Below are 24,667 nucleotides of genomic sequence, written 5' to 3'. Positions count from 1 at the left end.
TCTGTGCTGCTCATTTTCAGTGGTAAGTGGTTGTGAATTCAGCATTTCATTGCACATGGTCTCATGTGGCTCTCTAGTGGTCCCGGAGAAGCAAGTGTGAGATGGATGCCTCGTCTGGTGAGGTTACAGACTTCCTGAGGACCAAACAGTTTTTCTTCCTTTGTGCCATGTCCCACAAAATAGATGATAAACCACTGGAGGGCAGGTACTGTTTGACATGAAAACAAAGTTTACGGTGCCCAATCATTGTTCAGTAAACTTTCCAAGGAAAGAAGGAGTGGAGAGGCCATTTGTTAATTGAAAAGATATTTCCTGTCTAGTGGGGTAGATTCCTAAATTTAGGGCTAAACGTGCCATGCAGGTCTAATTTTCTGCATCGTGCAAAGACAGTCCCTTTTGCTTCTTTTGTGTACTCTCTTTGCATTTGTTCCATAGACACCTGATGTTTATACAATGCCCTGTGCAATAGAGATGGAGGATTCAATGGTGAATGACAGGTGATTTTTCTCTGCAGGTGGCTATCTTAGCCACTCCAAGACTTTAACTATCTCTGTGAACATCAATCACAAATCTCCAGCTACAGACTCAAGCTCCTTCCCCAAATCTATTTCCTATATTAGGGGTTAGGCAACCTTTGCAAACGTTAAGATGCAGACGGTTAGACCTGCAGCCCCAAGAGGAGCTGAGGTAATGCTTCTCTTTGCCAGGAGGGGTGCATGACATCACCTGACCCATTGAAGCAGTGGGCACCGTGGGGGTCAGGGGATGCTAACAGGCACAGCTGGCCCTCCTCACCCATGGATTTCACATCTGTGGGTTCTGGATTCAACTGGGGATTCAACCACCTGGGGTAAAAATATTTGAAAAATATTGTGGCTTTACTGTGAAGGGGTGGTCTGCCCCTCCCTAGAAATACCTGTGGGTATTTCTAGTCGGGTGGGATGAGGGACTGAGAAAAGAAATAAGACACAGGGACAAAGTATAGAGAAACAACAGTGGGTCCAGGGGACCAGTATTCAGCACACCAAGGACCTGCACTGGCACCGGCCTTTGAGTTCCCTCAGTTTTTATTGACTATTATTTTCATTATTTCAGCAAAAAGGAATGTAGTAGGACAGCAGGGTGATAATAAGGAGAAGGTCAGCAAAAAACATGTGAGCAAAAGAATCTGTGTCATGATTAAGTTCAAGGGAAGGTACTATGCCCGGATGTGCATGTAGGCCAGATTTATGTTTCTCTCCACCCAAACATCTCAGCGGAGTAAAGAATAACAAGGCAGCATTGCTGCAAACATGTCTCGCCTCCCACCATAGGGCGGTTTTTCTCCTATCTCAGAATTGAACAAATGTACAATCGGGTTTTATACCGAGACATTCAGTTCCCAGGGGCAGGCAGGAGACAGTGGCCTTCCTCTATCTCAACTGCAAGAGGCTTTCCTCTTTTACTAATCCACCTCAGCACAGACCCTTTATGGGTGTCGGGCTGGGGCACAGTCAGGTCTTTCTCATCCCACGAGGCCATATTTCAGACTATCACATGGGGAGAAACCTTGGACAATACCCCACTTTCAAGGGCAGAGGTCCCTGCGGCTTTCCGCAGTGCACTGTGCTCCTGTTTTATTGAGACTAGAGAATGGCGATGACCTTTACCAAGTATACTGCTTGTAAACATTTTGTTAACAAGGCATATCCTGCACAGCCCTAGATCCCTTAAACCTTGATTTTATACAACACATATTTTTGTGAGCTCCAGGTTGGGTCAAAGTGGCTAAGGCAAAGTGGCTGGGGCAAAGCTACAAATTAACAACATCTCAGCAAAGCAACTGTTTAAAGTACAGGTCTTTTTCAAAATGGAATCTCTTATGTCTTCCCTTTCTACATAGACACAGTGACAGTCTGATCTCTCTTTCTTTTTCCTACGTACTGAACATGTACAAAATTTTCTTCTTGTCATTATTCCCTAGACAACTACTGACACAGCATTTACATTGAATTAGGTATCAGAAGTAATCTAGAGCTGATTGAAAGTGCATGCAGTGTGTACATAGGTTGTCTGCAAATGCTGCGCTGTTCTCTATCAGGGGCTTGGGCACCTGCAATGTTGGTATCTTCAAGGGAGGTTCCTGGAACCAATCCCCTACGGATACCGAGGAATGACAGTATTTGGGTTTTGATAGAAAGCTGAGAAACCCAGAACAGAGATAACCTCCTAGCAGTAGAAAGCTGAGTTAAAATCAGGAGAAGGCAGTGGCTAAATTCACAGTCATTTTACACACAAGAGCAAAACACATGTTTTACAACAATGGAGGAAAAACTCAGTGATCGCCCACTGAAGTGAATAAAAGTTACAGTGATAGTTACAACAACACAGCAATAGGGTATACTGAGAAGGAAGATGTCCTTCAAGAGTTTAGGGTTTTGTTGGGGGAGCCAGAGCCTCTCTCAGGATGCACCCTCCTTTGGAAGCACTGACTTGGCCCCTGGGCCCATGACATGGGAATAGCATGTGAGCCGGCCGAGTCCCAGCAACCCCTCAATTCAGTTTGTCTCCTTAGACAGCATCCACCTCCCCAATCCTCCATCAGCTCCTTTTCCAGTTTCCCCCATCCTGCACTTGTGCAAGGCAGGGAGGGAGTTGTCTGTGCTTAGGACAATTCCTCACATTGCCAGGAGAGGGCAGCAGATCACTCTCCCATCCCAGTTGCTGCCTTGGCGCTGTCCAGGATTCCAGTCATTTTTCAAGGGTTATTGAGAGCTTATGGAATAGGAGACCATTCCAGCCTCAGTTTCGGCCAGGCACTGGGAATGCAAAGCCGACTGAGATATGGGGTCCCGCTCTGCAGGAGCCCGTGGTCTAAGAAGGCAAGGCAGCCATGGAAACAGAAACAGGTCTAAAGAGTGGGGTGAGGCACTGGGGCAGAAGGCTCTTCAGGGGACTGTGGGGTCCCCATGAGGTGGCGAGAGGGGGGGCATCGGAAAACACCCAGCAGGAAGAGGTGCTAGAGCTGAGTCTTGGAAGCAGGTAAGTTTTCCCAGTTCCTAGGCCAGGCAAGGCACCCCAGGCAGAGGAGCTGGGCCTCCCGTGACACCACAGGGCGGGCTTGGGCTCAAACACAGGGTGCTGGGGCAGGAGGAACATCTCAGGGAGGGGAGGATCATGGAGGGCTGTCCTCCCTGGCCATGCTAAGGAATCTGTACCAGGACCCAAAGGGAACCGGGAAGCCACTGAAGGGTTTAGGAGAAGGACCAAAGCAGACCTGCACTTTTACATGACAGCTTCCTGTTCTGCCTGTGGAGGATGGACATGGCAGGATGGAGAAGGGAAGGCCTGAAGGCCACTGGCCAGGTCAGCTTGGCTTGAACTGGGTAGGAGAGCGACGGTGGTGGTCTGAACTAAGGCAGGAGCAGTGGGAGTGGAAAGCGGGGTGGGCGTGAGGTTGAAATGACAGGTCTTTGGCTGGATGGGGGCTGGGCCGGATGAGGGCAGAGGTCTTTCAACTTTCTGGCTTTAGTGGCTGGAGTGAGTGCTGGTGGCAGCTGATGAGACAAAGAACACAGGGGAGGAAGACATCTCTGGAGAAAGACTATGAGTCGTTGACAAATATGGGGCATCACCCAGTCCCCCATTTCATTCCCACTATACCCCCTAATCTAGATCCTTGCTATTTTTCATCAGTTCTGAAATACTGGCTTCTTGTTGGGTCTCACAAGGTCCAGTCTCTCTGTTGGAGGTGCCTGGGAATTCTATATTTCAATACGTGCTTATGAACAACCTGTCTGGGGCAGGCACTGTGATGAGTTCCTTCTCCTACAGAGCTTATGGCCTAGTGCAGAGCGAAGGTAGTGAAGGAAGAGACAGACGGTGAAGCTCATGGTTGAAGTCCAGTGTGCAGCACGGTCTCATGAGTCTTCGAACAGGCTGCAAGGAGAGCATTCCAGGTGGGGCCTGCGATCTGGACTTCGGAGTGTCGAGGAGGTTTCCTAAAGGAATGCCATCTGGGCTCAACTGGATGTGCAGGGGCTCCCTGGTGAGGGGGTCGGGTGGCAGCAGGCCAGGGCTGGGGAGAGGGGCTCCTGTGGGGCTGGAAGGGGTGGGTGCAGTGCCTGACCCTGTGGCGGAGGACATGAGAAGCAGGCAGCCTCCACTTGAGAGGACACTGGGGGTGGTCAGCAAGGATAACAGTGGCAGGGCCTGATAGGGTTAGCTTGCACCAAGCTGAGTGGGGAATGAGTTGTGCCAGGCCTCCTGTGGGTGGATGGATCCTCAGGCTTGGAGGGGTGTCCTTCTGAAGGAGACTTCCTAGTCTCTGACAGATTTGGGAATCTGTCAGATTCCCTCTCTCTGGGAAGAGGCTACAAACTCTAGGCTGGGCATGGGCAAACTGCAGCCAAGTTTTGTTTTACCAGAACACGGCCATGCTTCTTCACGGATGTGTTGTCCATTGTTGCTTTAGTGAGTTGAGTAGTTGCAAGAGACCACATGTTCTGCAAAGCCTCAAACATTTCCTAACTGGCTCTTCATGGAAAAGGTTTGCTAACCCCTGCTATAAACTGGCAGGCAGCTTTCTTGAATAGAGTTCAGGCCTGGTCTGCATGTGCTGAGACAGTGAGCCCATATCCTAAAGTTGGATCTCCCAAAATGCACGTCCGTCTCAGGTCTTATGAATCTGTGAGTCACTGAGCATGTGAAAATGCATATGGTCATGTTTCAATGTGCACATGGTGATGTGTGAACATGCATATGATTGTGCATTAGCATGCATGTGGCCACGTGTAAACATGCACATGGTCGTGTGTGAACATGCACATGGTTGTGTGAACATGCATATGACTGTGTGTGAACATGCACATGGTTGTGTATGAATGTGCACATGGCCATGTGATGTGAACTTGAAGGTGCAGTGCCAGGCGGGGATAGGCCTTCCATGAGTGGTCCCTGGGCTTGACCACTTGCTGCAAGAGGCCTCTTCCTGAATCTTGTCCTAAGCCTGTTAGCCCTTGCTTGGCACCATGGAGTGACTCTCTTGCTACTGAATGGGATTCAGATGCCTGAACCTGACCTTCTCCATACAGGGCCCTAGGAGACCATTCCAGCCTCAGTTTCCACCTCTCCCCAAATGCCTGCTTGCTTCAGCCAAACCTGACTACTCCCCACTCTGCACACATTACTTTCTCCACCTTGGTGGCTGAATCCTTTGGGGCCCACCTCTCACATTCTGCTCCCTGTTCTTGGTTATTTGGGCTTTTGTCTTGTGTGCTCTGTCAGGTTCTAGGCTTTGTAAGGGTGAATTCCAGGTCTCCACTCATTTATATGTGCCCAGTAGGGCTGGCTCTTGGGAGGGTCTTCATGGTGACTGAGGCCATGGATCCTTTGCACTGTTCCTTGAATTCACTTGGCACTTAAATTCTCATCCTGAAATGATGCTTTGAAAGTGATGCTTGCAGTCAATTATGGGTTCACTGTATTATGGATTCCTAACACCCAATACCTGGCACATAAGAAATGAATGAAAAATAGTGAATGAATGAGTGAATGAACTCAAGTATGCCTACAAGGTGAGAGGAAAGTGATCCTACTTACTAGGTGTGCTAGGAAGGCATTTGGGACTGTTGGCTTTGCTGTTGCATAGTAAGCCTGGGGCTCTGAAGGCTGGCATTTCCTCATTCTAAACCCCAAATTTCAATAAATTACCACCAAGTGGACAAAGGTCCATGGGCCAGAGCTCTTAGTGTGAATAACATACCTTTTTTGGATGTGATTAATGGACGGGGAGTATACAAAACTAAAAACAATGTGTACTGACTACCTGTAAGCCATGGTTATAAAGCACTCTGTATACATGATCTTATTCAATGCTTGCTACAAACCCATGAAGTGGATTTTCAGACACACTTTCTATTCTGGAGCATTTTAAACAAGAGGCTAGCGTAGTGAGCTTTCACCTACTCATCAGCGGATTCAGATATTTGTCATCTCGTGGCCAATCTTGTTTCATGTACACTCCTGCATGCTTCTCCTCTTCCTCTCGTTATTTTATAGCAAATCCCACATATCATATAATTTCCTCCCTGAATGTCTTGGTATATGTCTGTAAAAGATAAGGATTCTTGTTTTGTTCTTTCAAGACAAGGCCTCTGTCGCCCGGGCTGGAATTCAGTGGCACGATTATGGCTCACTGTGGCCTTGACCCCTCCTGCCTCAGCTTCCTAAGTAGCTGGGACTATAGACCCACACCCCCATGCCCAGCTAATTTTTAATTTTTATTTTAGTAGAGACAGGGTCTTGCTATGTTGCCCGGCTGGTCTAGAATTCCCAGCTTCAAATGATCTTCCTGCCTCGGCCTCCCAAAATACTGAGATTACAGGTATGAACCACTTTCCTGGTGACAAGAACTCTTTTAAAAACATAATCCCAATACCATGTTCAACCAACCATCCCACACCATTGCTCTTTAATATTGTCAACTCCCCTGCTAGCTCCAAATTTCCAGTAATTTCATATTTTTTTTGTTTGTTTGAATCAGGATCCAAATAAAGTCTCTCTTTTGGATTGCTTCATTCGTATCTTAGCTTTTTTTTGATCCTGAAAGCTTCCCCACTTGATCTCTTTTTTGTCTCTTGCAGTTTATTTAATAAATTAGGCAGTTTCCCCATAGTTTGGATTATGCTAACTGTATTCTCATTATGCTATTTCTGGTAGTTTGAATTTGGCTAATTGTATCCTTGTGATGTTGATTAACTTGTTCTTCACTTTGTTCTAGTTTTGATAAATTAGTAGTTTGATCTGAAAGCTTGATCAGATTCATGTTGGATTTGAGGGGTCAAGGCAAAAAGACTGTGCTAAGTTCTTCCAGCAGGAGGTGTGTACTCTCTGGCCACCTTTTTTTTTTTATAATGTTAACAGCCAGTGATCAATTATGGATTGAACAATGATGGTATTGTTATATCATTCCTTCTTCATTTATGAGCTGCCATACTTCCAGAAAGAAATATTGCTACCCTGAGAAGGGCCTTCCATGAAGAAAAAAAAGTAAATATAAAAAAGAGATGCAGCTTCTTATAAATTATTGTGCTACCCAGTTGTACAATTTATATAGAAAAGGCCAGTTAGTGGCTTGATTTGTTCTTTTTGTTTACCATTTTTCAAAATGATGGTCTGCTTCATTTATATCCTTTGATGGTGACTACTTTTATTTGTTTATTTATTTAGACAGGGACGGTCTAGCTCTGTTGCTCAGGCTGGCATGCAGTGGGACAATCATGCCACCACAGCCTCAAACTTCTGTGCTCAGGCAATCCTCCCATCTCAGCCTCCTGAGTACCTGGGACCACAGACATGGGCCCTTAAGCCTGAGTAATTTAAAACATTTTTTGTAGAGACAGGGTCCCCCTGTGTTGTCCAGGCTGGTCTTGAACTCCTGGGCTGAAGTGATTCTCCTGCCTCGGCCTCCCAAAGGCATGAGCCACTGTCCCCAGCCCACATTTATTTATTTATTTATTCTTTTTTTTTGAGATGGAGTCTTGCTCTGTTGCCCAGGCTGGAGCGCAATGGCGAGGTCTCGGCTTACTGCAACCTCCACCTCCTGGGTTCAAGTGATTCTCCTGCCTCACCCTCCTGAGTAGCTGGGATTACAGGCATGCACCATTACACCCAGCTAATTTTGTACTTTTAGTAGAGATGCGGTTTCACCAGGTTGGCCAGGCTGGTTGCGAACTCCTGACCTCGGGTGATCTTCCTGCCTTGGCCTCCCTAAGTGCTGGGATTACAGGCATGAGCCCTTGTGGCTGGCCAACCCACTTTTATTTTTTATAAAGAATCATTATGAATGCAGACATTCAAACACATTTGATGTATTTCAATCCACTGCAATTATTATCCTTATTAATGTATAAAATGTCCTATCTTTGGTTAGAAGGAGTCCCTTCAGATTGGCTCTTCAGACGTGTTGAAAGCATCCTAATCTTTGATAGATTCCTTGCTATCCAGAGTGACAGTGTTCCAGGCTTATCTTATACATTTCTGGCCTAGACCTGGAATCAGCACTCTCTCCAGGAAGGCTTGTTTTCTTTTAGTGGTATTTTGAGACAATCTTGGTGCTAGGGGTAAATATTGTAATTTTAAAACTTAAAAAAATTGCCTGGTGCAGTGGCTCACGCCTGTAATCCCAGCACTTTGGGAGGCTGAGGTGTGTGGATCACCTGAGGTCAGGAGTTCGAGACCAGCCTGGCTAACATGGTGAAACCCTGTCTGTACTAAAAATACAAAAAATTAGCTGGGCTTCATGGCAGGAGCCTGTAATCCCAGCTACTTGGGAGTCTGAGGCAGGAGAATCGCTTGAACCTGGGAGGCGAAGGTTTCAGTGAGCTGAGATCGTGCCATTGCACTCCAGCCTGGGAAATAAGAGCAAAACTCTGTCTCAAAAAAAAAAAAAAGAAAAAAGAAAAAAAAAAAACCTTAAGAAAATTAACAGCTTTATAGAGGTCTAATTTACATACTAAAATTCACCTATTTTAAGTGTACAATTCAATGATTTTTGTGTGTGTGTGTGAGAGACAAGATCTCACTCTGATACCAAGGCTGGAGCATAATGGTGCTATCATGGCTCACTGCACCCTCAACCTCCTGGGATCAGGTGATCCTCCTGCCTCAGCTTCTTGAGTAGTTGAGACTACAGGCTTGTGCCACCACACCTGTTTAATTTTAAAAAAACTATTTGTAGAGATGGAGTCTCTATGTTTCCCAGACAGGTCTTGAACTCCTGGGCTCAAGTGATCCTCTTGCCTTGGCCTCCCAAAGTGCTGGGATTACAGGTGTGAGCCACTGTGCCTGGTCCAATTCAACGATTTTTAGTATATTTAGTATATTTATGGAATTATGTAACCATCACCGAAATCTAGTTTTAGAACATTTTGTCATCCCAAGAAAGAAACTTGTGCCTATCAGAGTCACTTTTCAGTCTTATTCCCAGCCCTCGACAACCAGTAATCTGCTTTCTGTCCCTATACGAGGCTGTCCTGGACATTTCATATAAACTGAATCATGCAATGTGTGTTGTTTTGCATCTGGCTTCTTTCATGAAGCATTGTGTTGTTGAGGGTGACCACTGTGGTAGTGTGCCTCAGAACTTCCTTTTGATTGTTGAGTAGTATTCCTTTGTATATCCCACATTTTAATCCCTTTGTCAGTAGATGGGCATTTGAGTTGTCTCCACCTTTCGATTCTTGTGAATGGTGTTGTGAATATTCACATACAAGTCTTTGTGTCGACATACATTTTTATTTTCCCTGGGTAGATACCTAGAAGTAAAGTTGCTGGGTTTAAAGCAGTTTTATTTTTAACATTTTAAGAAACTGACATACTATCTTCCAAAAAAGTGGCTGCACCATTTTATATTCCCACTGGCAGTGTATGAGGGTTTCGATTTCTCCACCTCCTCTCCAGCACTTGGCGTTATCTGTCTTGATTGGTTGTATTCATTCTAGTGGGTGTAAAGCGACATCCCATTGTGGATTGATTTGCATTTTCCTAGTGACTGATGTTAAACACTTTTTAATGTGCTTATTGGACATTAATATATCATCTTTGGAGAAATGTCTATTCATGTTCTTTTCCCATTTTTAAGCTGGATTGTCTTTTAATATTGAGTTGTAAGAGTTCTTCTGGATATATCACTTATTAGACATATGATTTATAAATATTTTCTCTCATTCTGTGGGCTGTCTTTCCCTTTTTTGATTGTATCTTTTGATGTGCCAAAGTTTTAAATTTGGCTGATGTTCAATTTGCCATTTTTCATTTTCTCACTTTTTCCCTTTCCTCCTTTTCCAGGTCTCATTATTTAGCCCCAGCTGGTCTTGAACTGTGCTTTTGACATTGCATCTAAGACATCAGTGCCTTACACAAGATCACAAGGATTTACTCCTGTGTTTTTTTCTAAGAGTTTTATAGTTTTAGTTTTTACATTTAGGTCTGTGATCCATTTTCAGTTAATTTTTGTGTATGGTGTTAGGCAGAGACCCAAATTAATTTATTTGCACATGAATATCCAATTGCCCCACCACCATTTGTTGAAAAGACTATTCATGGTTGGACATAGTGGATCATACCTGTAATCCCAGCACTTTGGGAGACCAAGGCAGGAGTATTGCTTGACTCCAGGAGTTTAAGATAAGCTTGGGCAACATGGTGAGACATGTGTCTCTACAAAATGAAAAACAACAAAAAAAGAAAAGACTATTCCTTTCCAAATGAAGTTTCTTGACCCCTTTGTCAAATCAATTGACTTTAAATGTAATGGTTTCTTTCCGGGATTTCAATTATTTTTCAGTTAATCAATTCATTTTTTTTCGAGACAGGGTCTTATTGTGTTGCCCAGTCTGGAGTGCAGTGGTGTGATCATAGCTCACTGCAGCCTCAAACTCCTGAGCTCAATTCATCCTCCTGCCTCAGTCTCTTAAGTAGCTGGGACGACAAGTGTGTGCCACCATACCTGGCTAATTTTTTTTTTTTCTTTTTGAGACAGAGTCTCCCTCCATCACCCAGGCTGGAGTGCAGTGGTGTGATCTCAGCTCACTGCAACCTCTGCCTCCCAGGTTCTAAGTGATTCTCCTGCCTCAGCCTCTGGAGTAGCTGGTGTTACAGGCACACACCACCACGCCTGGCTAATTTTGTATTTTTAGTAGAGACAGGGTTTTGCCATGTTGGCCAGGCTGGTCTCGAACTCCTGACCTCAGGTGATCCACCCACTTCAGCCTCCCAAAGTACTGGGATTACACCACACCCAGCCATAGTTTTAAATTTAATTTAATTTAATTTTCATAGTTACAGAGTCTTGTTATGTTGCCCAGGCTGGTGTCAAACTCCTGGTTTCAAGGGATCCTCTCTCCTTGGCCCTTTAAAGTTTTGGGATTACAGGCATAAGACACCACACTTGGCTTTATTTTCTTTTACAGATACGTTTTCTCTCTCTTCCCCAGGTTGGAGTGTAGTAGCCAATCATAGCTCACTGCATTCTCAGATTCCTAGGCTCAAGAGATCCTCCCACCTCAGCTTCCTGACTAGATGGGACAGCAGGCCTATACCACCATGCCTGGCTAATCAAATTTGTCTTTAATTTTTATTTTTTTAGACAGGTCTCACTGTCTATGTTGCCCAAGCTGGTCTTGAATTCCTGACCTCAAAGGATCCCCCAACCTCAGCCTCCCAAAGTGCTGCAATTACAGGCATGAGTGCCCAGCCTGAGCTTTCAACTATATTCCAGTGACCTATACATCTGTCCTTAAGACAGTACCATACCCTCTTGATTACTTTGTAGCAAGTTTTGAAATTAGGAAGATAAGTCCTCCAATCTTGTTCTTCTTTTTCAGGATTATTTTGCTTATTCTGTGTCCTTTGCATATCCATATGAATTTTAGGATCACCTTGTCAATTTCTGCAGAAAAGGTAGCTGGGATTTTGATAGGAATCAGGTTGATCCTGTAGACTAATTTGATGAGTACTGACAATAATATTTAGTCTTCTGATCCATGAACATGGAATATCTTTCATTTATTTAGTTCTTTTTTAGTTTCTTTCCACAGTGAGTACTTTATTCTTTGGGATGCTATTGTGAATGGAATAATTTTCTGAATTTCATTTTTGGATTTCTCATTGCTAGTGTACAGAAATACAATTGATTTTTGTATGCTGATTTTGTGAACTTGCTGAACTAGTTCTAGTTTTGTTTTTTTTTTAAACTGGATACCTTAGGATTTTCTGTATACAAGATCATGACATTTGGGAGTAAGACAGTTTTACTTTTTCCTTTCTAATCTGGATCCTTTTATATATCAATCGCCTAATCATCCTGGTCAGAACCAAGGCTGCATAGACCTGCTGAACATGGCCATCCTTGTCTTGTTCCCAATCTTAGGGGAAAGCATTCAGTCTTGCACCATTAAATCTGTTAACTGTTAGGTTTTCACAGATGCTTTTCATCATGCTGATGAAGTTCCCTCCTGTTTCTAGTTTGTTGAGGGTTTTTTTCCATGCATGGGTAGATAATTTCACTCTCATTTACAGAAAAGGAAACTGTCATTCAGGCAGTCTGCCTTCAAAGATCAAGCCCTGGATCACAGTGCTATCTCTACAGCACACTCTTCCATTTAATTTTCCCTCTGGCCCTCCTCCGAATTCTCTCTTTCAGCTCACTTGGGAATGTTGGTGTTCTCCAGGAATCTCAGCTCTTTGCTCATGTGCTTCTCTCCTGAAGTGGGAGAATGGCTTCAGCTGTCACCTGCAAGCTGATGACTCCACACTCCCTATCTTCTTGCCCTCACTGAGCTCTGGTGTGGCCTCATGCTTCCAAGACTTTTCCACTCAGATATGTCAAGAAATCTCAAACCCATCCTGTCCTAGAATGCCCTGTTATCCCTCTCCACTCAAGAAGGCTCCTCTGACTCTATTTTCAATATTGGATGCTTCTGCCATTTGTCCTGTTCCAGCCTGAAACCTGGCCGTGATCCCACATGTTTCCCTCTCCTTGGCTCCTCCTCTCACCTTTTCTAATTGGTGGCCAAGTTCTACCTATGTTCTTTCTTCACCTGCACTGGTACTGCCTTGCTCCTGCCTCCAGTCTCATTCTCCTCAAATTCACCCTCCAGGTAACCAACGGAGTGATTTATCTGAATTACACGTCCTCTGATACTTAGCCCTTCACCAGTTCCCTATTCCCACAGCATGGGAACCAAGGCCTTTTCTCATCTGTTCCATTTCATACACTAGGAACTTCCACCAAAGACTGAAGTCACTAAATGCACTTTCTCATGTCAGTTTTAAGAGCTGTATGCTACTTTCGTCATTTGGAGACATTAGAAATTATGTTACTAGTTCAACTTTACTGTCTTTTGCATGTCATGTTGTCTCATGCCTCAGTGCTTCTTGTTTACTCTGTTGTCTTTTTTTAATATATTAAACTTATTTAAATAGAAACAGGGTTCTTGCTGTGTTGCTCAGGCTGGTCTCAAATTCCTGGGCTCAACTGATCATCCTGCCTCAGCCTCTCAAAGTGCTGGGATTACAGGTGTGAGGCACCAAGCCCAGCCCTGTCTTGTTTTGAGAGGTTCTTCCTCTTTCCACATCATCCCCTCTATTCCTTTACATCTTGAAAATGCCTACTCACTAGGCCCTCCTCTTTGAACCTCCTCCTAACTCTTGCAGAGTTAATTATGCCCTCCTCTGTGTTATTTCACAACATTGCATGTGCTTGTAATATCGCATGGGCTGTCCTATAAGTATTTGTCATTTTCTTACTCTCCTGAGTTCAGCATTTATACTAGATTTATCTTAAACACTCTTATAAATTGCCAGCATATAGAAAGTGCTTAAGAAATATTTGTTGTAATCACCTGAATTAGGATTTATCTATGTCTCCTTGCTTTTAATAGATCATTTTCTAATTTGTCAGTTTAAATACATTTTTAAGAGAACACCCCATCCCTAAGCCAAATTGCTTCTTATGCAGAAAAAAAAGCCACTACTGTGAGTCTCCAAGCTTCCCCCTGCACAGCCACCCTAGGAGACATGGGGCAGGAGTACTGGGAACTGACCCCTTCCATCTGCCCTCACTTAGCTTCCTCGGGTACTTACATGGGGCTGTCACTGACTTTACATGCTGCTGCAGCTCCTTAGTCAGCTGGTCCTTGTCATGGGACAGAAACTGTGGGGTCAGGACAATCAATGCCTTCACCACCTGCAGAACGAGGGCAGAGGCTCATGATGAGTGTCAACCTATTACATAGCATAAAAAGTCAGTATTTATTGAATGAGTGGAAAAACAAGGTGACGTTGGACCCTACAGTAGTTTTGGAAAATAAGAGGACCAGGTGCAAATGCCTGTACTTCCAATGTCCACTCCATGCCTTGAAAAGTTACTTGACCTCTCCTTAACCTCAGTTTCCTTCTCTGTGAAATGGGAATAATAAAGATTCCATTCCTCATTTGGTTTCTTTAAAGCTTCCATGAGATAATACATATAAAACATCCAGGTAGTTTACATTATTATCCCTGTCATCAGTACTTTCATCATTATTTTTACTATTATTATATATACCACCCTGTGCCTGTAACCCAATGGGTATTTGATAATTATTGACAATTTATTATTCATATATTAGTAGTGTTATCCCCATTTTATTGTACAAGGCCTTGCATATAGAAGGTGCTCAATAAACACTTTTTAATAAACAAATGCACGTATGTTCTTCAGCCACGTTGCTGAAATGCCATTCTGGCTCCACCCCTTAGTAGCTGTGTGATGTGGACAGATTACTTAACTTCCTTCTGCTCCTCTTTCCTCATCTACAAAGAGTAGAAGAGCTCTTAGATTATTCCATTTTGTGAGAGTTAAATTATTTGGCATGTATTAAGTGCTCACTAAATATAATCTGTCATCTTTATCTTCAGAGCCACAGAGAGGCCGCAGTGCCCCCAAGTCACTATACTGTGTAAGTGCACAGGCACACTATGCCCTCCTTCCCCCAAGGTTGCCCAGGTAAGGCCTGGAAGTTTCCCGGGCGTTTGCTTTCCTAGTGCCCATGTACAGACACAATGATCTCTGTGCCCTCCTCACTTCCCCTTGAATCGGGTCTGGGCTGCTCACCGTGGCTGACTCTGCCACCACTGGGTGGTCCACCAAAGCACGCTGCACCTCTGTAGCCCAATGCCGTACCTGGAGGATGAAGGGTTCTGGGGTAGATGCCAGGGCTGGGGTGAACCAAGTCCTCAAATCTCCTGCTTTGGAGAGTCACAGCTTCCCTTGGCACAGAGGGCAGAGGTCATAGGGACCCAGAGACTCCTGATCTGTCTGTGCCACGGGCCCAAAATTTGAAGACCTGGACATTGTAGGTGCTCCCAGGGCTTCTCGCCTCACTGCCTTTATTGACAAAGAAGGGCGAATGCTTAGTTCCCTGGGCCCTTGGCCCATGCAGCTTCACCAGACACGAAATCTCTTGGAAGCCTCAAACTTGGTCTTAAACATTTGTGCAAATTCTGCACACTATTTCCCATTGAATCAGCATGATTTTTGGCATTTATTAAATATATTCAAGGCATAAAACATGATGTTTTGATGTACATATACATAGTAGCACGATTACTACACTCAGGCTCTCGTATATCCATTATCTCACGTAATTACCTCTTTTTTTTTCTTTTGTGGTAAGAGCATTTAAAATCTACTCTCTGCAAATTTCCAGTACATCACATTTCAGAAATTTTAAAAAAATCACATCCATTTCTCTAAAATATCCAAGAGAGATTGTTACTGTAGTGTAATGTATCTTTTTAAAAAATCATGTAGGGGTTACGGACAGGGTCTCAGAGCCAGCCTGCCTCAGTTCAAATCTGGATTGCACCCTGTGCTATCTTTGAGACTTCAGGCAAATTTCTTCACTGGTCAGCCACCCAGTTTCCTCACCAGTAAAATAGGGGTAATAATCGCATCTCCCTTCCAGCATTGAGAGGTGAGTTATATAAAGCATTAAGAACAGTGCTTTCACATAGTAAGTACTCCAGGTTAGCTAAATAATTATAACAAATAATAGATTTATAATAATCTATCTTAATAGATTTGTTGTATTCATAGATTTATAATAGATTAATAATAATAATAAATAAAAAATAAACAATAGCTAAAGGTTAGTTGTTATTATTACTATGTTTGTTCTGTGACATCCTGTGCTGCATTAGAGGAGCACACACATGAAATAAGCTCCCTGAACCTATGGGGACCAAAACAGAGTCTTCCTTCTCAGTCTCATTCCAAGGCCCTTCTCTAAATTGCACAGTGTCTTATTATGTCTTCAAGACACTCTTGAATTTCATTTTGATTGATTCTTCTGTATGCAGGGGTTAGGGAGGTGCACCAAAACCTGGGATCAGGGCATTGTAGACATGGCTCTATTCAAATTGGGCTGAGGGTCCTGTCACCAATGCATGAAAGACTGTCTGGGCAAGCAAGATCCCAGGAGGCATATGAGGATGACAACAGCCAGCCTGGCATCAGTCACACCTACCCAGAGGCATTGATAGTGTCATGACTCCTCCCCAGGAACCAGATGTAGCCCTCTTCATCCACAGTTGCTCTGTCCCCGGTGTCGCAGACGTCCCCACATTCCACTTCGGCTGTGTTCTCTGGGTTACCCTACAAAGGGGAGAGAACTTCTTTGTTGAAGGCAGTGAATTTAGAGATGATGAGCCACAACCTCGGGTTCCAATCTGGGTTTCAATTCTGCCTCTGGTTCTACCTGGTACCTGGGCAAATTTTGCCATCTCTCTGAGTCTATTTTCATTACACGTAGGCACACGATGCATGCTACTGTTCTATGAGTGGTCGTGATTATACCAATTTCAATGACAAATTAAAAAATATCAATTCGCTTTTATGTGACACTATACTAGAATAAAATTTCTATTATAGTGTGAACTTTGTTCCCTGCTGTAAGCTCAGCATTCACACAGTGTCTGGACAGATGAGAGGGGTCAATAAACATTTGCTGAGTGAATTTTCTTCCCTAAATACTATCTCATTTGATCCTCACAGAGAGCCTATGAGGGTGGTATTTTTAAAGTTAACTTTTCATTTTAAGATAATTGTGGACTTGCATGCAGTTATAAAAAATAATACAGATTGATGCCCCTGTACTCTTTAGTAGTTTTCCATAGTGGCAACATCTTGCAAACTATAGTTCAGTATCTCAGCCAGAATCCTGATGTTGATACAATCCACCAATCTTCAGATCTCCCGTTTCACTTGTACCTGTGTGTGTGTATGGGTGTATTTATTTTTATGCAGTTTTATCACATATATAGGTTTGTGCATTCACCAGCACATCAGGAAGATCTCTGATGTTGCTCTTTTATAACCATATCCACCTCCTTTTTCTTCTCTTTTCCTCTCCTCTCCCCATCCCTAACCCCTTGCTAACAACTACTCTGTTCTCTATTTTTATAATTTTGTTGTTTCAAGCGTGTTATATAAATATAATTTAATAGTGTACAACTGTTTGGGATTGTTGGTTTTTTTTAGCATAATTCTCTAGAGACTCATCCAAGTTGTGTGCATCAATGGTTTGATCCTTTTTATTGCAGAACAGTATTCCATGTTGTGGGTGTACCTCAGTTTTTGTTTAACCATTTACCTACTGAAAGGCATCTCTAGGCCTTTCAAAACCTGGGTTGTCTCCAGGTTTTGGTTATTTTGAGTAAAGCTGCTATGTACATTTGCATACATGTTTTTGTGTGAAGCTGGCACTTTTTTGTAGCCCATTTTAAATAAGAAAAACTTCATGCTCAGAGAGGCACATTCACTTCCTCAAAGTCACTCAGCTGCTCACTGAGAGGGTTGGTATTTAAATTTAATTCTTGCTTCACAACCTATTCACTTGAACCATAAGCAATATCTCTTGTGGAACATGAAATGGTTTTAAGAGCTATCTGAAAAATCATTTTAAAAACATTGAATCACCTCCCTTTTTGGATTCACTTCCAATTATTCTGAGTATATCAGGTTGACTCTTAGTTTAGTGCTGACATGCTTTGAACTCTCTGGAAGTCCCAAGAGGAAGATACACTTCAGGATCAGAGCTTTCAATGGGAATAGGATTTAGGTAGAATATGAGAAAATTGTTTGTTTTTTTAAAAAAACCTATAGTTATAATTGCCTTCTGTTTATGGCAAGTAATACTGTTTTCCACTTGTGATACTAGATCAACGTGAGTGCCTTTGTGGACTAAGTTGGTAGGCACAAGATTACATCAACAATATAAATGGAAGACTGTACATGAGTAGAGTTTTTTTTTGTTTGTTTGTTGTTTTTTGAGACAGAGTCTCACTCTGTCACCCAGGCTGGAGTGCAGTGGTGAGATCTTGGTTCACTGAAACCTGGGTTCAATCCTGGGTTCAATCCTGGTTTCAAGTGATTCTCCTGCCCCAGCCTCCTGAGTAGCGGGGATTACAGGCGCATGCCACCACGCCTGGCTAATTTTTGTATTTTTAATAGCAATGGGGTTTCACCATGTTGGCCAGGCTGGTCTTGAGCCCTTGACCTCAGGTGATTCGCCCACCTTGGCCTCCCAAAGTGCTGGGATTATAGGTATAAGCCACCATAAGTTTTTGTATGCAATTGAAGTTAAGTAGGTATTAATTCAAATTAGATTGTTACAACCTTAGGATGTTGTATGTAATATTCATAGTAACTATGAAGAAAATATTTATAGAATATAAACAAAAGGAAATGAGAGGGGAACAAAATATGTCACTACAAAAAACAAACAAACAAAAAAACAGAATACTAAACATAGGCCAGTTGCAGTGGCTCACGCCTGTAATCCTAGCACTTTGGGAGGCCGAGGCGGGCAGATCACCAGAGGTTGAGAGTTCGAGATCAGCCTGGCTAACAGGTGAAACCCTGTTTCTACTAAATACATAAAATTAGCTGGGTATGGTACTGTGCGTCTGTAATCCCAGCTACTTGGGAGGCTGAGGCAGGAGAATCACTTGAACGCAGGAGGCGGAGATTGCAGTGAGCTGGGATCGTGCCACTGCACTCTAGCCTGGGTGACAGAGTGAGACTTGGTCTTGGGGAAAAAAAAGAAACTAAACATAAAAGAAGGCAGTTATAAAGGAAATGAGGGCCAGAAAATATTAAGCCATACGAAAGACAAATAACAAAATGGCAGAGGTCCTTTCTTATCAATAGTTAAGTGGAGTAAACTCTCCAGTCCAAAGGCAGGAATTGGCTAAATGAATAATAAAACATGATCCAAATATGCACTGTCTACAAGAGCCTCATTTTAGATTTAAAGACATGAATAGGTTGAAAGTTAGAGGTTGCAAAATATATTCCCCACAAATAGTAACCAAAAGAGAGCTTGGGTTGTTATACTAATATCAGACAAAATAAACTTTACGTCAAAAACAATTGCAAAAGATAAAGAAGGATATTATATATTAATAGAAGGGTCAGTTCATCAAGGAAATATAATAATCATAAACATATATGCAATAAACTTCAGAGCTCCAAAATACATGAAGCAAACATTGACAGAATTTCAGGAAGAAATATACAGTTCTACAAAATAGTTGGAGACTTTAATACGGCACTTTTTTTTTTTTTTTTTGAGACAAAGTCTTGCTCTGTCATCCAGGCTGGAGTGCGATGGTGTCATCTTGGCTCACTGCAACCTCTGCCTCCCAGGTTCAAGTGATTCTCCTGCCTCAGCCTCCTAAGTAGCTGGGATTACAGGTGCCTGCCACCATGTCTGGCTATTTTTTTTGTATTTTTAGTAGAGATAGAGTTTTGCCTTGTTGGCCAGGCTGGTCTTGAACTCCTGATATCAGGTGATCCACCCACCTTGGCCTCCCAAAGCGCTAGGATTACAGGTGTGAGCCACTGAGCCCGGCTCTAATATGCCACTTTTAACAGTGAGTAGAAAAACTAGACTGAAGATCCCCAAGAAAATAAAGAACTTGAACAACATCATAAACCAATTGGACTTAGCAGACATATATAGAACACTCCATCCAATGGCAGAAGAACACACATTTTTCTCAAGTGCACATGGAACATTCTCAAGGATGGACCATATATTAGGCCAGAGGAGAAGAATTAATCAACTTTAAAAGACAGAAATTATATAAGGCATATATCCAGTCATATGAAATGAATTAACAGAAGAAAACTTTTTAAAAAATCACAAATTTTTCCAATGTTTGAAAAATTAGACCAGGTATGGTGGCTCACACCTGTAATCCCAGCACTTTGGGAGGCCGAGGCAGGCAGATCACTTGAGGTTGGGAGTTCGGGACCAGCCTGGCCAACATGGTGAAACCCCGTCTCTATTAAAAATACAAAAATTAGCTGGGCATGGTGGCAGGCACCTGTAATCCCAGCTACTTGGGAGGCTGAGGCAGGAGAATTGCTTGAACCTGGGAGTCAGAGGGAGGTTGCAGTGAGCAGAAATCGCACCACTGCCCTCCAGCCTGGGTGACAGAGTGATACCCTGTCTCAAAAAGAAAAAAAAAAAAAAGAAAAATTAAACGACATACTCGTAACTAACCAATGGATCAAAAAAGAAATCACAAGGGAAGTTAGAAATTATCTTGAGATAAAAGAAATAAAAAACATAACACACCAAAACTTACAGATTGCAGCAAACACAGTGCTAAGAAAGTAATTTACACACATACTGTCTTAGCCCATTCAGGCTGCTGTAACTAAATGCCATAAACTGGGTGGGTTATAAACAACAGACATTATTAGAGTTCTGGAGGCTGGGAATTTAACATCAAGTCACCAACAAATTTGGTGTCTGGCAAGGGTTCATAGATAGTTGTCTTGTTGGGGCCTCGGCCGGGCACGGTGACTCACACCTGTAATCCCAGCACTTTGGGAGGCCGAGGTGAGTGGATCACCTGAGATCAGGAGTTTGAGACTGACCTGACCAATATGGTGAAACCCCATGTCTACTAAAAATACAAAAATTAGCCGGCTGTGGTGGCGGGCACCTGTAGTCCCAGCTACTCCGTAGGCTGAGACAGAAGAATTGCTTGAACCCAGGAGGCGGAGGTTGCAGTGAGCTGAAATTGTGCTCAATTTTTGAGACTCCGTCTCAAAAAAATAAAAAAGAAAAACACTTTGGGAGGCTGAGGTGGGCGGATCACAAGGTAAGGAGATCGAGACCATCCTGGCTAACACAGTGAAACCCCGTCTCTACTAAAAATACAAAAAATTAGCCAGGTGTGGTGGCAGGTGCCTGTAGTCCCAGCTGCTTGGGAGGCTGAGGCAGGAGAGTGGCATGAACCCGGGAGGCGGAGCTTGCAGTGAGCCGAGATAGAGCCACTGCACTCCAGCCTGGGTGACAGAGTGAGACTCCATCTCAAATAAATAAATAAATAAATAAATAAATAAAATAAAAAGATACCTGTCTTGTGGCCTCATATGGAGAATGGAACAAAGAAACTATTGGAGTCTCTATTTAAAGGGCACTAACATCACTAATCACCAAGGAAATGCAAATTAAAGCCACAATGAGCTATGACCTTACTCCTGCAAGAATTGCTACAATTAAACAGTAAAAAGACAATAGATGTTGGCTTGAATGTAGTGAAGAGGGATCACTTTTACGCTGCTGGGGGGAATGTAAATTAGTACAACCAGTATGGAAAACAGTATGGAGAGTCCTTAAAGAACTAAAAGTAGAACTACCATTCTATCCAGCAATCCCATTACTGGGTATCTACCCAAAGGAAAAGAAGTAGTTATATGAAAAAGACACAAAGACACATGCACATGCATGTTTATAGCATAATTTGCAATTGCAAGGATATGGAAACAACTTAAGTGCCCATCAACCAATGAGTGGATACAGAAAATGTGGTATATATACACCATGGGATACTACTCAGCCATAAAAACTGATGAAATAACGTCTTTTGCAGCAACTTGGATGGAGCTAGAGGCCATTATTCTAAGTGAAGTAACTCCAGAATGGAAAACCAAATATCGTATGCTCTGTGACTTTACTTGATACCACTCAAAAATGGTGAAAATAGTACATTTTATATTTTACATAAATAAGGAGACAAAACAAGTCTCAATGGAGGCATGCCAACATTTCATGGATACATAGGTATGGGTATATGTTAGGACATCTTTGGAAAAAAAATATGTTATACTCAATCAGAAAAAAAAAAAATTAGCTGCTGCAGTGGCTCAGGCCTGTAATCCCAGCACTTTCAGAGACTGAGGCAGGGGGACTGCTTGAGCCCGGGAGTTTGAAACCAGCCTGGGCAACATAGTGAGACCTCATCTCTACAAAAAATAAAAAATTAGCTGGGTGTGGTGGTGCACGCCTGGGTCCCAGCTACTTGTGAGGCTGAGGTGGGAGGATCACTTGAGCCCAGGAGGTCCAGGCTTCAGTGAGCTTTAAACACACTACTGCACTCTAGCCTGGGTGACAGAGCAAGACCCTGTCTAAAAAGAATAATAATAATAATTGCTTTGGACTACTCCCATTTCAGCTCAACCAGAATCTCTCTTTTTTTTAAATCAAGCCAAGAACTTCCAGTTTTTATTTTTTAAACATTATTTAACAAGAAAAACATTCAACCAAATTAAAAAGAATTAGGTTGGATTAATTTACCATAAAATAATCAACCATAAAATATCAGCCCTTCCATTTAGGGCCAGGGAGGCCAATAGTTCCTGTTTAAACAGCAGAATTGCACTATTGATATTTTTACCTATATTTGATGGCACAAAAACATAAAAGTCTTACAATGTCCACTGACATCCTTCTCTCCCTCCAGAGTAGAGTTCATATAATTGCATCTTAGGTACTCAGGCTTTTAAAAATCATCTTACATTTTGAAATATAATACAACTGCTCTGGTAACAAAAATATTTTAAAACAATTCTTATAGAAAACTAATACCTTAGATAATTGTGAAGAAAAACCTCATTGACAATTAAATGCTTTGTTACTGATGCATATTTTCTAATATGGGTGACCACAATGACACGCATAAAACGCAAAAAAAAAAAAACAACATATGGGACTACATCAACGTGAAAAGTTTCTGCATAGCAAAGAAAACTACTTTCCAAATAAAAAAGCATCCTATAGATTACGCAAAAATTTCAGGCAATCATGTAATTCACGAGGAGTTGTCAACTAACGTGTACACAAAAAACACTACAAAGTAGAAAAAGAATCCAATCTAATATTTCGCAAAGAACCTGAACGGACAATTCTGCACAGATATAAAATCGAACAACAGATAAGAGATAAGGTCCTCAAAATTAACTATTCATTAGAATACTGTAATTCAAAACCACACGCAGATAATCTCACAGTTATTGAATATTCCTAGAAAAAATTTTTCAAAATAAGAGGGGCTGGGAGCCGTGGCTCACGCCTGTAATCCCAGCACTTTGGGAGGCCGAGGCGGGCGGATCACCTGAGGTCACGAGTTTCAGACCAGCCTGACAAATATCGTGAAACCCCGTCTCTACTAAAAATAAAAATACAAAAATTAGCCAGGCGTGGTGGCGGGCGCCTGTAGTCCCAGCTACACAGGAGGCTGAGACAGGAGAATTGCTTGAAACCGGGAGGTGGAGGTTGCAGTGAGCCGAGATGGCGCCACTGCCCTCCAGCCTTGGAGACAGAGCGAGACTCCGTCTCAAAAAAACAAAAACAAATTGGAATGGGGGTTTGGTTTTGGAGAAAGGGGAACTCATACACTGTAGGTGGAAATGAAAATTAGGGTACACACCATGGAAAACAGCTAAATAGCTGGAAACTCCTCAAAGAACTGAAACTACAGATGTCCCCTGCTCTAGCGAGGTCTCTTTCTAAAGGTCCCGAGGCATAAAAAATAACCCTAGGCCCCAGCTCAGAGGCCCGTGGGGCTCGGAGGGACCCAGTCCAGCGCTTCACCGCCGCCTCTGGGCCAGGGCGCTCCTATAGGCTGGACGCGGGTCGGACAGGGGCATAGCCTTCCCGGCGGGGGTGTGGACGCTGCCGAGGCCAGGATCCCACAACCGCCCCGACGCTGACGACTCGGGCCCAGATGCCCACTTAGAAGTCAGGGCCCGAAAGCAGGGAGCGGCCGAGAAGGAGTAGGGAGACCCAGAGGGTTCCAGGTGGGGTTCATCCCCCTCCACTTACCGCCGAGGCCTGCCACCTCCTCCACCAACAAACGGAAGCCACCACATCTTCTCCGAGACTCGCTCTGACCACGCCGCCGATGCTGCCCGGGCCTCGCACGAAGCGCAGTCTCGGCTTCCGTCGGGGCCTGCATGCTGGCAGCGTCCCTGGCGCCAGGCTGAAGCACCACCCCCTCTTAAAGGGGCCGCGGCTGGGACTGGGCAGAAGCAGCTTCGGGTTGCACAGGCTGAGCGTCTGCCCAGCCCCAGGGGTGGACGAAAGGCCCCCAGTCTCTCATCCTCCCGGGCTCTAGGGCCCTAGAGGTCGCAGAAGCGCCTCCTGTGACCCCAGCCCCTAAATCGGCTCCCTTTGCCTGAGGAGCGCCCGGGACCTGCCCCTGCCCTCCTCGGGACCTCAGCTTCACCATCCGCAAAGAAAGCGGCCTGGCTGGAGCTCTGGGGTCCCTCAAGCTCGGCGCCTCAGGATCCAGGGTGGGCTCCCCTGCCCCTCTGCAGAGGGGGCCCAATAACCACGGAAAGCTGGGGGCTGGAGGGACAGTCCCGAGGGCAGCAGGGCGTCCTTGGCCTCACCGTCTACATTCGTCCTGTGGGAGCCCGGGGGCGTCGCTAGGGCCCAGACTCCTGCGGCCTCACCAGGGCTGCCTGGGTCACCGGGCTCCCCAGGAGGCAGGCAGGGGCCCTAGGGTCCAGCGCTGCCCCCACCTCAACTCCATTCTGCGTCAGCATCCGCGAGGGGGTCCTGCGGACTGGACCCAGACCCACTCCTTCCCGGGGAGCGGGACCGGTATCGGTCTCTGTGACACCCACGGGAGGGGCCGTGCTGACCTCTCCCGGGGATCTGGGGGCGGGGTGGGGGAATCTCGGCCACCTCTTGAAGCTCGCTGAGCCCCCCACCCCAGAGAGCGCGCAGGAGCAAAGGAAAGGACGGAGAGCCCACACATTTTCAATCTTTCATTTCCG

The 24,667-nt window shown here is 44.0% G+C and overlaps 1 long non-coding RNA gene across 3 annotated transcripts, besides 5 other annotated features; it reads right to left on the bottom strand.

Moving 5' to 3' along the window:
- Window positions 1-982: 982 nt before the first annotated feature.
- Window positions 983-24,483, bottom strand: CECR7 (cat eye syndrome chromosome region, candidate 7). 3 transcript variants are annotated; one of them, NR_015352.2, is made up of 4 exons: window positions 23,709-24,483; window positions 16,053-16,180; window positions 13,627-13,729; window positions 983-3,980 (listed from the first exon to the last, which is right to left on the bottom strand). It is a non-coding gene; the product is annotated as a cat eye syndrome chromosome region, candidate 7 (long non-coding RNA). The 3 variants fall into 3 exon arrangements; NR_152825.1 differs by having other exon boundaries at window positions 983-3,918; NR_152826.1 differs by having other exon boundaries at window positions 983-3,536.
- Window positions 2,524-3,024: an enhancer, noted in NCBI's record as "H3K4me1 hESC enhancer chr22:17538919-17539419 (GRCh37/hg19 assembly coordinates)". NCBI's record gives its function as "activates a minimal SCP1, AML or CMV promoter by ChIP-STARR-seq in naive H9 embryonic stem cells {active_cell/tissue: H9 hESC(naive)}" and the evidence as "EXISTENCE:reporter gene assay evidence [ECO:0000049][PMID:30033119]".
- Window positions 4,029-4,198: an enhancer, noted in NCBI's record as "experimental_62204 CRE fragment used in MPRA reporter constructs". NCBI's record gives its function as "activates a minimal promoter by MPRAs in K562 erythroleukemia cells, with activity observed for both the introgressed and non-introgressed 22:17537830 variant alleles {active_cell/tissue: K562}" and the evidence as "EXISTENCE:reporter gene assay evidence [ECO:0000049][PMID:34662402]".
- Window positions 5,304-5,473: an enhancer, noted in NCBI's record as "experimental_62188 CRE fragment used in MPRA reporter constructs". NCBI's record gives its function as "activates a minimal promoter by MPRAs in K562 erythroleukemia cells, with activity observed for both the introgressed and non-introgressed 22:17536555 variant alleles {active_cell/tissue: K562}" and the evidence as "EXISTENCE:reporter gene assay evidence [ECO:0000049][PMID:34662402]".
- Window positions 22,952-23,111: an enhancer, noted in NCBI's record as "active region_18610". NCBI's record gives its function as "activates an Ori minimal core promoter by ATAC-STARR-seq in GM12878 lymphoblastoid cells {active_cell/tissue: GM12878}" and the evidence as "EXISTENCE:reporter gene assay evidence [ECO:0000049][PMID:35858748]".
- Window positions 23,122-23,171: an enhancer, noted in NCBI's record as "active region_18609". NCBI's record gives its function as "activates an Ori minimal core promoter by ATAC-STARR-seq in GM12878 lymphoblastoid cells {active_cell/tissue: GM12878}" and the evidence as "EXISTENCE:reporter gene assay evidence [ECO:0000049][PMID:35858748]".
- Window positions 24,484-24,667: the final 184 nt, after the last annotated feature.

This window comes from Homo sapiens, chromosome 22, assembly GCF_000001405.40.
Source record: "Homo sapiens chromosome 22, GRCh38.p14 Primary Assembly".
Classification (NCBI taxonomy): domain Eukaryota; kingdom Metazoa; phylum Chordata; class Mammalia; order Primates; family Hominidae; genus Homo; species Homo sapiens.
Note: the sequence above shows the minus strand (reverse complement) of the source record. Positions and strands in the feature narration are given on the sequence as shown.